Raw genomic sequence first — 13,817 nt, forward strand, 5'->3', positions numbered from 1 at the left:
CATTACACTAACAACCAGATAAAAGATGGGCAAGACGTCAAAGCAAACAGATGCCAAACTGTGAAATGAGTGTTTGTGTAAGGAGCATAACCTCATTGGACCTCATTGTCATTCTTATTGCAACAACAAAAAGGCAATGTGAAATAAAAACAAAAACACGGAAATAACGATTCTAGGTAAATTTTACTGAGACTGTGCCAGTGTCAGCTACCTTTCCATCTGTTGTTTCACTTAATCCTCCTAGTAACCTTATGAGGTGGATAATTCTGTTATCTATTATCCCTACTGCATGTGTGAGGGAAGTGAAGTCCAAAGAGGTGTCTAATCTGTAAAAATGGGTCAGTAGAGGATGGTTGTGGTGACAAGGGGCATGTGGAAGGGTCTTAGTTTCTGTTTAGGGGTGATGTGATGGTGCTGGTTTCATGGTTAAGTCCAGAAAGGAAGCCAGGTTCCCTTTCTACTCCCAAGATTAAAAGGAAGACATTTGATAGCAGACATCTAGGGAAGTCTTTTGCATTCCGTCAAGAGATCCTCTCTGTGCTTTCTTCCTTTAGTCAGTGTCTGCCCAGAGGTTAGAAGACGGAAGGAGCTGTCATTGTTGAGGGTTGTTGGGGTAAATACACAATTCCCTTCTCTGCCGGGGCCTGTGTTCTGAACCAGCTGAGAGAGAAAAAAGAATCCAGTGAATGGAGAGCAAGCTACTATGGCTGTTAAAGCTAGATCAGGAAATGTGGGCTGGATGAGTTGCGACCATGGGCTTCCTGATACTGAATGTCAGAATGAGACAGTTATCCACCTCCACACAGTCAAGGGTGGGAATGGGCTCACCAACAGAACAGGGGGCTTTACAGATAAACTTAGCATATGGTTGAGAGCAGGCTAGTCCCATAGAGATAGAACTGGAAGAGGCTGAACCATGCACACCCAGTTTGTCTTCTCAAAGTTACTATCAGAGCATGTACTACCCCTGCACCCAGAGGAAGAGTGAGGTGAGCATCAGCAAGACACAGGGAATCACACTAGGAGATACCAATTCATACTTGAGGAAACACTAGGTTACAGGAATAAAACTTCTTCTCTAGCAGTTCTGAAGTGAGCAGGGTGGAGAGGGGAGGGGTTTGTGTGTGTGTGTGTGTGTGTGTGTGTGTGTGTATCTGCATATAGGCAACTACATGTGAATGTGTACCTACATCAAAATTAATTCCTAATGCTTCCACAATCTAAGCAGTAATTTTACTAGTTTTTTCTTGACAATTTATAGAAATTTGAACTTCATTATAGAAATTATCTCTAAATAACAAAAGCTCTTAAAACTATAAGTGTATGGATCTGTCATTTGGAAGAGCAAAGCCTTTTCAGTGACTAAACATATCCTCTTCTGTTTTTTTTTCTCTTCAAGATTTAGCCTCATTTGACATTCACTTTAGCTAATGTCTAGATAAGCCAGCTAATGTTAACATCTCTGAGTCTGACTTAAAGGCTTTGTGTTTTTGTCAGAGGTTTCTTAGAAAGACTGGTGGGCTCCATAAGAATCAACAGGGCTAGAAAACTCAGTTAAACCGCAAAGGGAATAGACTGAGTGACAGTAATAGGAAAGGAAAAAAAGGAAAATATCCCTTTCTATTCTCTCTACCTTCCAACTCTGCACTCCTGGAAATAAAGGCTGTTTTGTCCCTATTTTTCTTTCTGAATTGAAAGACAATAACCAAATATACCTGATGGTACTTCCAGCGTCTGAAGAAAAGTTCTTAGGAGGGTGGAGTACAGCTGAAAAACTCATTAATTTTAATTAAGTTAAAAAATCCATAGTAATGCAATATTAGCCTTGCAGTAAAGTCATCACTTCTACAAATGGAAAACGAATACTCTTTAAAGAAACATGATATCCCTCTTGACACAGCTTCTAAGAGGCATATATTGACCAGGCAAAGAGGAAAGTAAAATTCTACCTTTTTCAACATGTTCAAGGGTAGACAGATAATAAAACTTGAACCTATTTATCTTGAAGTTGGCTCATATTTCTCCCTATCAGTACACAGGGAGGTGGACAGGTACCAGCTTAGAACTTATATAAAAGTGGGTTTGAATGCTGGCTTCACTCACAACTCTGTTACTCAGAAAACAGTGCCTAGACTCTCTGAACCTCAGTTTCCTCATCATTAAAATAAATGTAATAATAATGGTTTTAATTAGGCAAATTTCTAAAACACAAAAACAGACACTCAAAGGCTAAGTGGTTAGTGAGAAAAAATCTGTATTTGGTCAAATATTTATGGTGGCTTGAATTGGATTTTGTTATTAAAAATATTGTTAAAAAATAAAAAATAAAAATATTGTTGAGAAGAACATTACAATGTTAATGTATTCATTCTTCATTTGACAGATATTGGTTGTGCACCTACTGTTTATCTGGCAGACTGTGTGAGAGGGACACCATTTGTCTTCTAAGAGTAGTTCAAGATTTCTCCTGCCTCATTTGACTGTGAAGGGGAGTTCTCTCTTAAAGACACAGTCTTGAGCTGTGACCTTGGGTTGTGTGTGTGCATGTGTGTTGGCATGTGTGCATGTGCGCATGTGTTTGCATGGGTTGTGTGTGTGTGTTCATGCATAATTTTGGTAGGGAAAAAATCATCTTCTTATTACACCTGGATGCTTTTTCTTTTGGGGATTTCTTCTTGCAAATTTAGGAGTTTTATGGGGCTTGTGGCCTTGTTCTGTCTTGGACTTTTCTCTGTCATCTGGATTTTTCTGTTTTCTTTCTAATGTGTCTGGCTGATAAGTCCGTGGATGCCTCTGCTTGGGAGAAGCCCTCACTCCCAAGGGACCCAGGCAGAAACCAGAGCATGATTCGTAGAAAAGGAAGCTTTGTCCAGGTCATTTAGGCCTGTCCTTTAGTCTAGAATAAAGGAACTGATGGGCTAAACGTGGTAACTAGAATGGAGACCCAAAAGACTACAGTGAGGCCATTTCCTGGGGATTCCTACCCTCTGAGGAACAGAATTCCCAAGTATATCAAAACTGTCTGGCTTCAAAATTGATGAAGGATGGGAAGAGGGCTCATTACAACTTGATGCAGCCACAAAAAGGGATTTATTGCATGTTCTTAAGCCTGGAAATGACAGGATGGAAAGCAAAGAAAGAATTTTGAACTAAAAAAGAACTTAGAAATAAATTAGTCCATTCATTTCTAATCTTTCTTGTTTCTTCTGTCATTTTCTAGAGGAGGAATATGAGGCCCAGGAAGGTGAGTTCATCTTGCAGCTGCTAGCGATTGACAAGTCTAAGAAACCAAGTTCTTGGCTTGTTCCTACATGCACTCTACAGACTGACTTAGGAATATTTCCCATGAAGGCATCCACAGAGACTGTCCTGTGTGTCCCTTAGGCCAGGCCTTCGACTTCAATTGCATTTCTTTTCAAGACAAGGTTGTGAGGGGAAGGATTGATTAGATATTGAGGAGGTGAAAGAAGTTATTAGATTGATTAGATATTGAGGGGTTGAATAGATATTAGAATTAGATATTAAGGGGGTAAATAATATCTATCAAGGTTAACTTCCAAGTTCAGTGGTTGGTGAATGGGAGGAGCCACCATCTGAGGCAGAGTACGGAGATGCAGGTTTGGAGAGAAAGGAAAGTTATGATGAGTTCAGTTTTTTGAGTTAAAATCGCAGTGAACCGCCAAGCTGGGGGTACAACAGGAAGGTGCACACCTGGCTTCAAGAGAGAGGAACAGTTTAGAAGGTTCTTCTTTTTATTTTTAACCTTCCAAAATCCTATTTCCCAAGGTCTTTCCCAAATCTACCTGTTCTGTGAAGTGGTCCCTAATCTCCCATCTCATCCAGCTGTTTCCTGTGTGTGCCCATAACACATTGCTTTCGGCTTCATTAGGCTGTCCCTCCATTTAGTGAGGTCATTGTCTTCATGAATATCCCTTCTAACTAGTCACCTTGGAGTCAGCACCAAGGGGCTGTAGAGTATTGTGGATAAGAGTGCAGCCTCTTGTTCCAAACTGCTGGAGTTCAACCAGAGGCATACGTATACATACATATATATTTATATATAAATGTCATCTATAAATATATAAATATATGTCATGTAAATGTCATATATTTATATATAATGTCATATATAATTATAATATTTATATTTATAATATAAATATAATGTCATATAAATATATGTCATGTAAATATGTCATATATAAAATGTCATATATGTCATATATAAATATATAGTCATAAATTTATATATATAATGTCATATATAAATATATAAATATTTTATAATTTATAATTTTATAGTTTATAATTTATAAAATATATAAAAATATATATAATGTCATATATAAATATATATATATTTTTTACTTTGGGTAATTTAACCGCTCAGTGACTCAGTTTCCCCCTCTGTAAAATTGGAATGATAAAAGTGGTAGTTATCCAATCCAGTGGCTGTGTATTTAAATGAGTTAACATATATAAATGTCTTAGCATATGGAGGAGCGGTCGGGGGCCCTTCCTTTTCCCTTTCCTTATAATAAATCTCATGGTTTCCTGACTCCATTCTGCAGGTCTCAAAGTAGCATCTCTTCATTGAGCAAGTTTCTTAATCCAAAATCATTTTCTATTTTCCTTTGGCTCAGTAAGGACCCTATATCCTGTTTGATGTTTTGTGTTTGAAATTTTTAACAATTGCAGGAAAAAAATCTGTTTGAATAAGATACCAGTTAAAGACAAGGGAGTGAATGGGGTGAAATGTTCCCTTCACCGGCCTAAGAAAAACCTCTGGGGAGCTCTCTGACCGAAGACAGGTCAGCGAAGACTGTGCTGAGTCATGCTAACTTAAGATTCACTTTGGAAAACAGTGGCTAAAAAGTGTCTTTTTCTTTTCATTCATTCATTAGTTCATTCATTCATTCTTTTTTCTTTTAAAATCCTTCCCTGCCAATTCTGGCTGACTGAGATGGGGCTAAGACGGAAAGGGTTTTGAACCATAACTGGCATGTCCGTAGCTGCAAATTCGACAATAATTCACTTGTTAAACTGAGGGAGAGGTGCGAGTTGGCAGCTTAGAATAGATTTCATTTTCACTCTTCATCTGTTGCCAGGAACACTGCTCATCTGTCTCCTGTGCTTTATCTCCTGGTGGGATTCAAAGCAAACGGCAGTCAGCTCAGTCTGCATTGCTTTTGCCAACCCAGAAGCCAACTTTCTCACCCCCTCCTTGGCTGCTGGGAGGTTGTAGCCTCCCCGGGTCTTTGGTCCTAGGTGTGGTTTATCAGGAATCGCTGCCGTGGTTAATAACATGTTGCTGAAAGGTGGACATTTTGCGTCATTTTGGGTATTGAAGAGGTTGAGAGGGAGGGCTGAGACATTTCTGCTGTTTGGAGTCAGAGCTGGATTTGAATGTTGGCCCTGCTACCTTGAACGAGCAACATTCTTGCCTTAATTCTTATTCTCTGTAATGGGGATATTGTAACTGCTGCGCTGAATAGTGTAAGAATGAGAACAGTAGAAGCATTTAAACATCCGGTTTTGGCCTGGCACTGGGGATGCCCTCAATAAGGTCTCTGTGAAAGGCCTTCCAGTTTCTTAACAGCAAACAACATTGCAGAAAGAACGATAGGCTGCTGCTAGTTAAGATAGTACATTGCACAAATCATAAAAAGGCTCAACCTCCAGATGGATACAACCTGTGGAAGACCTCCAGTTTGCAAAGGTGCATGGGCTTGATTTTGGTCCCACTGGTCCCTGAAGCCAGGTGCCCATGTGCAGTAAACAACTTTAACAGTTGTGCACAGTGGCTCCGAAGACTGATGTCTGCATTGAAGCTTGATCATGATTTACTAAACTGACCTCAGGAAAAGGAGAATCGGCTCAGAATCATGTGGCATTGAAGAGTGTTAAGGATATGACCTACAAGCTAGTTTTTCACTTTACCTTCGACTTCTTTTCCTCAGGAACCTTGACTCCCAACAAATGGAAATGTTTGTTACCATGAAGTTGCACCGTGATGACACATTTGCATGAAGTTCTTCAGCTGCAGTGCCTGATTGGCCATTGGCGGCTGGGAGAAGAGCCAGCCTGTCTGTGTCTTTCTCTAGGCCCTGGTGTGTATTTCTTGCAGCATCTTGGCCACTACTTAATCTCTTTCTGCCTCACTTTCTCATCTGTATTATGGAGAGAATATTAGTACATATCTCGTAAGGTTCTTTTAAGGATTTAAATGGTTCGTACACCGAAGGCACTAAGAACAGTGGCAGGTACATAATGAGTGCTCAACTAACGTTGGCTATTATTATTGTCTACCTGCATTCCTGCCTCCTGTGATGTTGTTTCTTTCTGTCCTCCATGAAGCCTTCATAGATGACCCCATCCAGAAGTGCACCCGTCTCCTCTCTCTAACACATGCAGTACTTACCAGGGAGTAACATTTACATGATAATCATTTTTAGTTTGTGTCATATTTTTCTGCCCCCACTTAATAATGAGCTTCTAGAGATATTCTTCTTTCTATTCTTTAATAGCTTTATGCCCTGCTGTAAACCAAACATCTGCCCATTCACTTCTTAGTTCAGAGATCTATTGGTGTTATACAACAGAAACTTGACTTGTACTAGCTGAGGTTAAAAAAATTTCTGAGCCTAGGGAAGAACATGGATGACTAGAACGATGGCCATACATGTCCATAAGATCTTCTCTCTCTTGCCTTGTCTCATTCTTGCTCTCTCATACCTGCTACTCTACGTTAGTGTCACTCTTCCAGGTCTGCTTTATCCATGAGACAGGAGCCATGGTCTCTAATAACTGCAGGCACATATCTTTCTGGATGGAAAAGACTCTCTTATTCCAGGTTTAGGAATAAAATTCTCAGGGAATAATTTTGATGGGCTCATCTTAAGCCAGTTTTTATCTATTAAACAAGCATGGTGGTTACAGATATAATGTAAGCAAAGCACAGTTAACATTAGATCTGTGTGGTATGGAGAATGTTCCAGGTTGGATGACTGGAGAGATGGTGATACCACCAACTTAGGCAGAAACACAGGAGGACTGAGCTAGTATGGGAGGAAGGACATGGAGAGTTCAATTTTGGATATTCTGAGTTAGAACTATAACTAGGACATTCAGGTGGATGAATCTCAGGGCAGTTGAATATATCAGTTCAAACCTCATGGGAGAGCTCAGAACTCGAGATATAAATTTATGAGTCATGAGCAGTTAGGAAATAGTTTAAAAACTTCCAAAGAGGACTTTCACTTCTAAGTAGTATGTAGGAGATCATAGCAGGCTAACAGTCCCATTGTATCAACTAGAAAAAAATTTGATGAATTGAAAAATTACATTTTTAAAGACCTATGAAACCTGTGAAAGCAAAAAGGGAGAAGATGAATTAAAACTCCAGAGATAGAAGAGTATTTTCTAGGTGAGCTGACAGTTGCCAGACATTTATTCCCCAAGAGCCTGCCATTCTGGAGGCAGGCAGAGAGTCAGGCATGGTACACACAGATAGACTCTCCTGGGGGAAGGAGAAGCCAGTAGGGCATGTGGTGGTCATGCAGGGCCAATGGATGCGGAGCTAGGGATTCCTCAAAAAAAAAAAAAAAAAAAAAAAAGGGCTAATTTTCCCCAAGGGTAGTAGTTTTCCACAAGCTGTTAGAAACACTAGACTAATAGAAATACAGGAGTCTATTCTGAAAATTTCTAACAACAAACCTATACTTGTGGGATAAAACTAAAATAGTAGAATAGAGAGAAAGCTTAACTTTTACTGCTTACAGTCCTGACTGGATGAAAATAAAGGAAATAAGTATCCAACTAAAGTAGTTACAAATACGATAAGTGCAAAACCCAAAGAAAGTAGAAGGAAGAAAATAATAGTGCAGAAAGAGATGAAATAGAATGCAAATGTACAATAAAGAAGACAGCGTTGTTCTCTGTAAACGATAATGTAATTGCCAACCTCTGGCAAGATTGCCCTACCTCTTTCCCCGCAAGAAAGGGAGGCAAAAATAAATAATATTGTAAGAAAAAGCCATAACTAAAAATAAAAGAATAATTAAAAGAATATTATAACTTTATACTAATTAACTTTAAAACCTAAGTGGTCACACATTCCCAGAAAACTGTATATTACCAAACCAACTGAACGAGAGATAGAAAAACTGAATAGTAGTTGACCCTCGAACAACGTGGGATTGAGCTGCATGTAACCACTTATATGTGATATTTTTCCCATCTCTCTCACTCCTGAGACAGGAAGACTAGTTATTTCTCTTCCTTCTTCTCCTCAGCCTACTCAATGTGAAGGCAATGAGGATGAAGACCTTTATGATGATCCACTTCCAATTAATGCATAAGAAATATATTTTCTTTATGATTTTTAATAATTTCTCTAGCTTTATTATAAGAATGCAGTATAAAATATACAGAATATGTGTTGACTGTTTATTTCATTGGCAAGGCTTCCAGTGAACAGTAGATTATTGTTAAGTTATTGGGGATTTTAAAGTTCCATGTGGATAACCAACTGTGTGAGGGTCAGTACCCTTAACCCTTGTCTTGTTTAAGGGTCAACTAGTTTTATGGCTATTTTTAAAAATTCTTAAAATCTACCCACAGGTGCTCAAGTGGTCTTGCCTGTGAATTTTACAAAACATAAAGAGACTGAGTATTCAAGCTTTTAAAGAATAAGAAATGGCTGACTTTTGGTGCATGCTAAGACGGAATTAGTTTCCTATAGCCCATCTTCTCCAATAATTACAACTAAAAACTCTGAACCCCACCCCCACCTTAATCAACTAGCTGAGTAATCAGAGGATAATTAAGGCCACTTGGGGAAGGAAGTGAAAATTTGAAGAATGACCAGTACCTGTAATGATAAGAAAATATTTGTAAATCATATATCTGATAAAGGATTTGTATCAAGAATATGTAGAGAAAGAACTTTTAAAACTCAAGTATTAAAAACCCAACCCAATTTGAAAAAAAAAAAAGAAAGATTGAAACAGGCTGGGCATGGTGGCTCACGCCTGTAATCCCAGCACTTTGGGAGGCTGAGGTGGGCGGATCACGAGGTCAGGAGATCGAGACCATCCTGGCTAACACGGTGAAACACCGTCTCTACTAAAAATACAAAAATTAACCAGGCGTGGTGGCGGGCACCTGTAGTCCCAGCTACTTGGGAGGCTGAGGCAGGAGAATGGCGTGAGCCCAGGAGGCGGAGCTTGCAGTGAGCCAAGATCGCGCCACTGCACTCCAGCCTGGGTGACAGATCGAGACTCCGTCTAAAAAAAAAAAAAAAAAAAAAAAGATTGAAACAGATGGCATATGGAAATATACTCAGCATCATTAGTCATGAGCTGAGATTCTATTAAACAACTCTTCATATGGCTGAAATAGAAAAATAATGCAAAATGAGCATCAAAAGAATAAATCTTACTGTATGTAAATTTAAAATAAAATTTATTTTTAAAGTAAATAAGTAAATTCCCAACTCATTTTTAAGCCTTCCATAACCTGGACACCCAAACTATACCATGATGTAATTGTAACAGAAGATTTCAGAGCAGACTTACTCCTGCACATACACACACACACACACACACACACACACACACACACAGACCTACAGATGCACACTCCAAATCTAGCAAAAGATGAAATGATAATATGACCAAGTTGAGTTTCTTCCAGGGATGCCTGGTGGATTCAAAATTAGAAATATTATAGCCACTACATTTCAAGCCAAAGGAAAGTTATTAATAAATGATCACCTCAATAGATGCAAAAATGAATTTTTTGAAATTTCACACATTCATGATAAAATTAAAACTTTTACCAGACTTGAAACTGAAAATATATTCCATCTATACACAAAAGCCCCGCAGCAAACATCATACTCAATCATAAAATATTTAATGAATTCCCTTTACAATCAGAAGAAGACCAGAATGAGAGCTATCACCGGTTACTTTTATCATTTTATTGGAAACTTGTGGTCAGCAAAAATAAGATAAATAAAAGATAAATGCATTGAAAATCAAGCATCAAAGTGTCATTTAAATATGTTTTTCTACATAAAAATTGTCGAAAATTATACATAAAATTATTATAAGGCATAAGACAGTTTAGCAAATTTGCCAGATAAAAGATCAATATATGAGCTAATTTCATGCCTAAACATTAGCAGCAATCTAGTAAAAAACGCGTAACAAATAACATTCACACAAAATTAAAATAATTACACCTAAGTGAAACTGTCCAAGAATTTTATGCTGAAAAGTATAAAACATTCTATGAAGTCATTAAAGAGTATTCATATACTAGGAAAGAGATACTCTACCAAAGGGCAGGAAAACTCAATGCCATAAATGTGTCAATTTTTTCCAAATTTATCTCTAAACGCACCAAAATCCAATAATATCTCAAGTTTTTTTGTAGAATTTGATAAACTGATTCTAATAATTACGAGGGAGAATCAAGGGCCAACTAATGGTAAAGGTACTCCCAAAGACAGAGTATCAGGCAGAGTAACTCATCCTGCCAAATATCAAGGCTCATTATAAAACTAGTAATTAGTAATCTGTTACAAATACTTCAAGAGAACATAATAAAGTGCTAATGAGCAAACCTTTCACCTACCTGGAATCTTGATATAACGGAGCTGATGTTTCAGATAGAAGGAAACAATGGCCTATTGTCCAATAGATTTTAGGAATTGGTGATCCGTATGGAAAAATCTAAAGTGTATAGTGAATGCCTGTGAAACAATACAAAAAGGCAAACCACAATATAGAAAGGGGGCAAAAGACAAAATCAGGCTCTTAGCAGAACATAGAATATGACTGACCAATAAACACATGACAAAAATTTCTTAACATCATTAATAACCAGCAAAAGGCAAAATAAATATTTTAAATGGAAAAAATTTACAATAACAAAGATGTGCAAAGCTGCTGGTGAGGATGTGGAGAAATAGGAACACTTTTATGCTGTTGGTGGGAGTGTAAACTAGTTCAACCGTTGTGGAAGACAGTGTTGATATTCCTCAAGGATCTAGAACCAGAAATACCATTTGACCCGGCAATCCCATTAGTACCTAAAGATTATAAATAATTCTACTATAAAGACACATGCACATGTATGTTTATTACAGCACTATTTACAATAGCAAAGACTTGGAACCAACCCAAATGCCCATCAATGATAGACTGGATAAAGAAAATGTGGCACATACACACCATGAAATAGTATGCAGCCATAACAGAATGAGTTCATGTCCTTGCAGGGACATGGATGAAGCTAGAAACCATCATCCTCAGCAAACTAACACAGGAACAGAAAACCAAAGACTGTATGGTCTCATAAGTGGGAGTTCAGCAATAAGAATACATGGACACAGAAAGGGGAACATCACACACTGGGACCTGTCAGTGGGTGGGGGGAAAGGGGAGGGAGAGCATTAGGACAAATACATAATGCATGAGGGGCTTAAAACCTAGATGACAGGTTGATAGGTGTAGCAAACCACCATGGCCCATGTATACCTACTAACAAACCTGCACATTCAGCACATGTATCCTAGAACTTAAAAAAACAATGGGAATTCTTATTAAAGTTATAGAGGGAGGGAAAATTGGAACTGCTTTGATGAACAACTGGTCACTACTTAGCAGAGTTGAACATGTGTGTGCCCCACTACTCAGCACTCTACAGCTAGGAGGATGCTCTACGTAAATGCATATTTATGAGTACTAAGAGGCATGTAGAGAATGCTCATTTCAGCATTGATTTTAAAATTGCAAAAATAATAGCTCAAATGCCTGCCTACTATAAAATGGATAAATAAATTGTGCTTCACTCATACAACATAAATAAGCAGTGAAAATAACTACAGCTACAAGCACCAACATGGAGAAATCTAAAAACCATAGTGTTGAGGGGGAAAAAAAGTTGCTGAAGAATATGGTCAAGTCGATGTCATTTATTCAACTTTCAAAAACAGGCAAAACTAAATAATACATAGTTTAAGAACCTATGCATTTCTTGTAAAATTATCAAGAAAAGCAACCAAATTGATTTTTAAAAATTCAGGACGTTTGGTCCCTCTAGGAGGAAAACATTAGCAATATTCAACTTTTCAGTCTGGGGAGTGAGTGCATGAAGTTTGTTTTATTTTCATTATACTTGTTTTTTTTCTTAACTGTCTTTTATTCATCAGTTCTTTATTCAACAAGTACTTATTTTCATTTATTTTTATTCTTTAAACTTTACATGTATATTAAGTCACTTCTTTGTACCTATGTCATATTTCTTAATAAGAGTCTTAAGAAGAGTTAATGAAGGGATTGATAATGATGGCTAAGGGGTATGGGATTCTTTCTGGGGTGAGGAAATGTCAAACTGTGTGCCTATTAAAAGCCATTGAATTGTCTAGTTTAAATAGATAATGTTTGTGAATTATATTGTATTACAATATACAAGGATTAAGGTAGTTGAGGAAATTAAAAAATGTAGGTAGTATTTTTGAGAATTTGGGTGAGAAGGAGAGAATAGTGAAATCACTTGAGGGTGGTGAGGAATCAAAGGTTTTTTAAAAAAGAAATTTGGCTACAGGTTTAATGAGCATGCCAGTGGAGAAGAATTCAGGACAAGGAAGTCTTATATAACAGGATATGAACACAGCTCCTTTTATTCAAAATGGACCTACCTCCTATAGCACTTTCTTGAGTTTAAAAGGAAAAGTTATCTCCAAATTGGTGCTCAGCCTCCTGCCAGTCATGGGCTCTATTTACTCTTTGGGACAAATTTTCAAAAGCGTGGTGTCCTAGTAGTGCTGTCATTCTTTCCACCTGGGTGGAAAGAGAAGTAAACGCTAACCAAATTGGAGCCATTGAACAATTCAGTGGGATAAGTATCTCTTGGCTGTCATGGTGGGATGGGCTTTAGGGCAGGGTAAATGGAGAGGTAACTGCTAGACAGTATTGACCTTCTAGTTGACCTTCCTTCTAGTCTATTTGCTCCTATGTGATCTGCCTGGTGACCTAGGAGCCCTCTGACTTCTGAAGTCCCCCCAGAACTCATTCTAATTCTTTGCAGACAATAACATAGAGGCAGTACAAAGCAAGTAGTGAGGCAATGAGTAAAGCATGCCTTTTGTCAAAGTATCCCTGCTCTGCTCTGACACCCACTACCCATCCCTCTAGAGAGCAAAGATTGAATCAATAATAAATTGATTCATCTCTCACAGAAGTGAGCAGATAGCAGAAAAAAACACACTGACATGAGCATTAAGGAAACCCATACTCTAAATTCAGCTCTGACATGACCAGCTTCCTGTTAGTCTTCTGAGTCTTTTTTTTTTTTTTTTTTTGGAGACAGAGTCTTGCTCTGTCGCCCAGGCTGGAGTGCAGTGGCGCAATCTTGGCTCACTGCAAGCTCCGCCTCCTAGGTTCACGCCATTCTCCTGCCTCAGCCTCCCGAGTAACTGGGACTACAGGTGCCTGCCACTATGCCTGGCTAATTTTTTTGTATTTTTAGTAGAGATGGGGTTTCACCGTGTTAGCCAGGATGGTCTTGATCTCCTGACCTCGTGATCCACCCGCCTCAGCCTCCCAAAGTGCTGGGATTACAGGCGTGAGCCACCGCGCCCAGCCCTGAGTCTCTTTTTCCTCATTGGTAAACTGGGGTGTAGTCCATCAGCTCTTCCTTCTACCTCTTTCCCACTGTGTAACAGCCATCTGTGCATAGGGATAGAGTAGGTCCTGATTGGTCCAGGCCGATCATGTTAATTCCATTTTGCTTTTCACAGTGAT

The 13,817-nt window shown here is 38.4% G+C and overlaps 1 long non-coding RNA gene across 2 annotated transcripts; it reads right to left on the bottom strand.

Annotated features, from left to right (window-relative positions):
• Window positions 1-208: 208 nt before the first annotated feature.
• On the bottom strand, window positions 209-12,845 carry LOC105373012 (uncharacterized). Of its 2 annotated transcripts, none has more exons than XR_938200.2 (3): window positions 12,713-12,845; window positions 10,645-10,762; window positions 209-660 (listed from the first exon to the last, which is right to left on the bottom strand). It is a non-coding gene; the product is annotated as an uncharacterized LOC105373012 (long non-coding RNA). The 2 variants fall into 2 exon arrangements; XR_938201.1 differs by lacking the exon at window positions 209-660 and adding an exon at window positions 5,947-6,170.
• Between the last annotated feature and the right edge of the window lie 972 nt (window positions 12,846-13,817).

Source organism: Homo sapiens, chromosome 22 (genome assembly GCF_000001405.40).
Source record: "Homo sapiens chromosome 22, GRCh38.p14 Primary Assembly".
Lineage (NCBI taxonomy): Eukaryota > Metazoa > Chordata > Mammalia > Primates > Hominidae > Homo > Homo sapiens.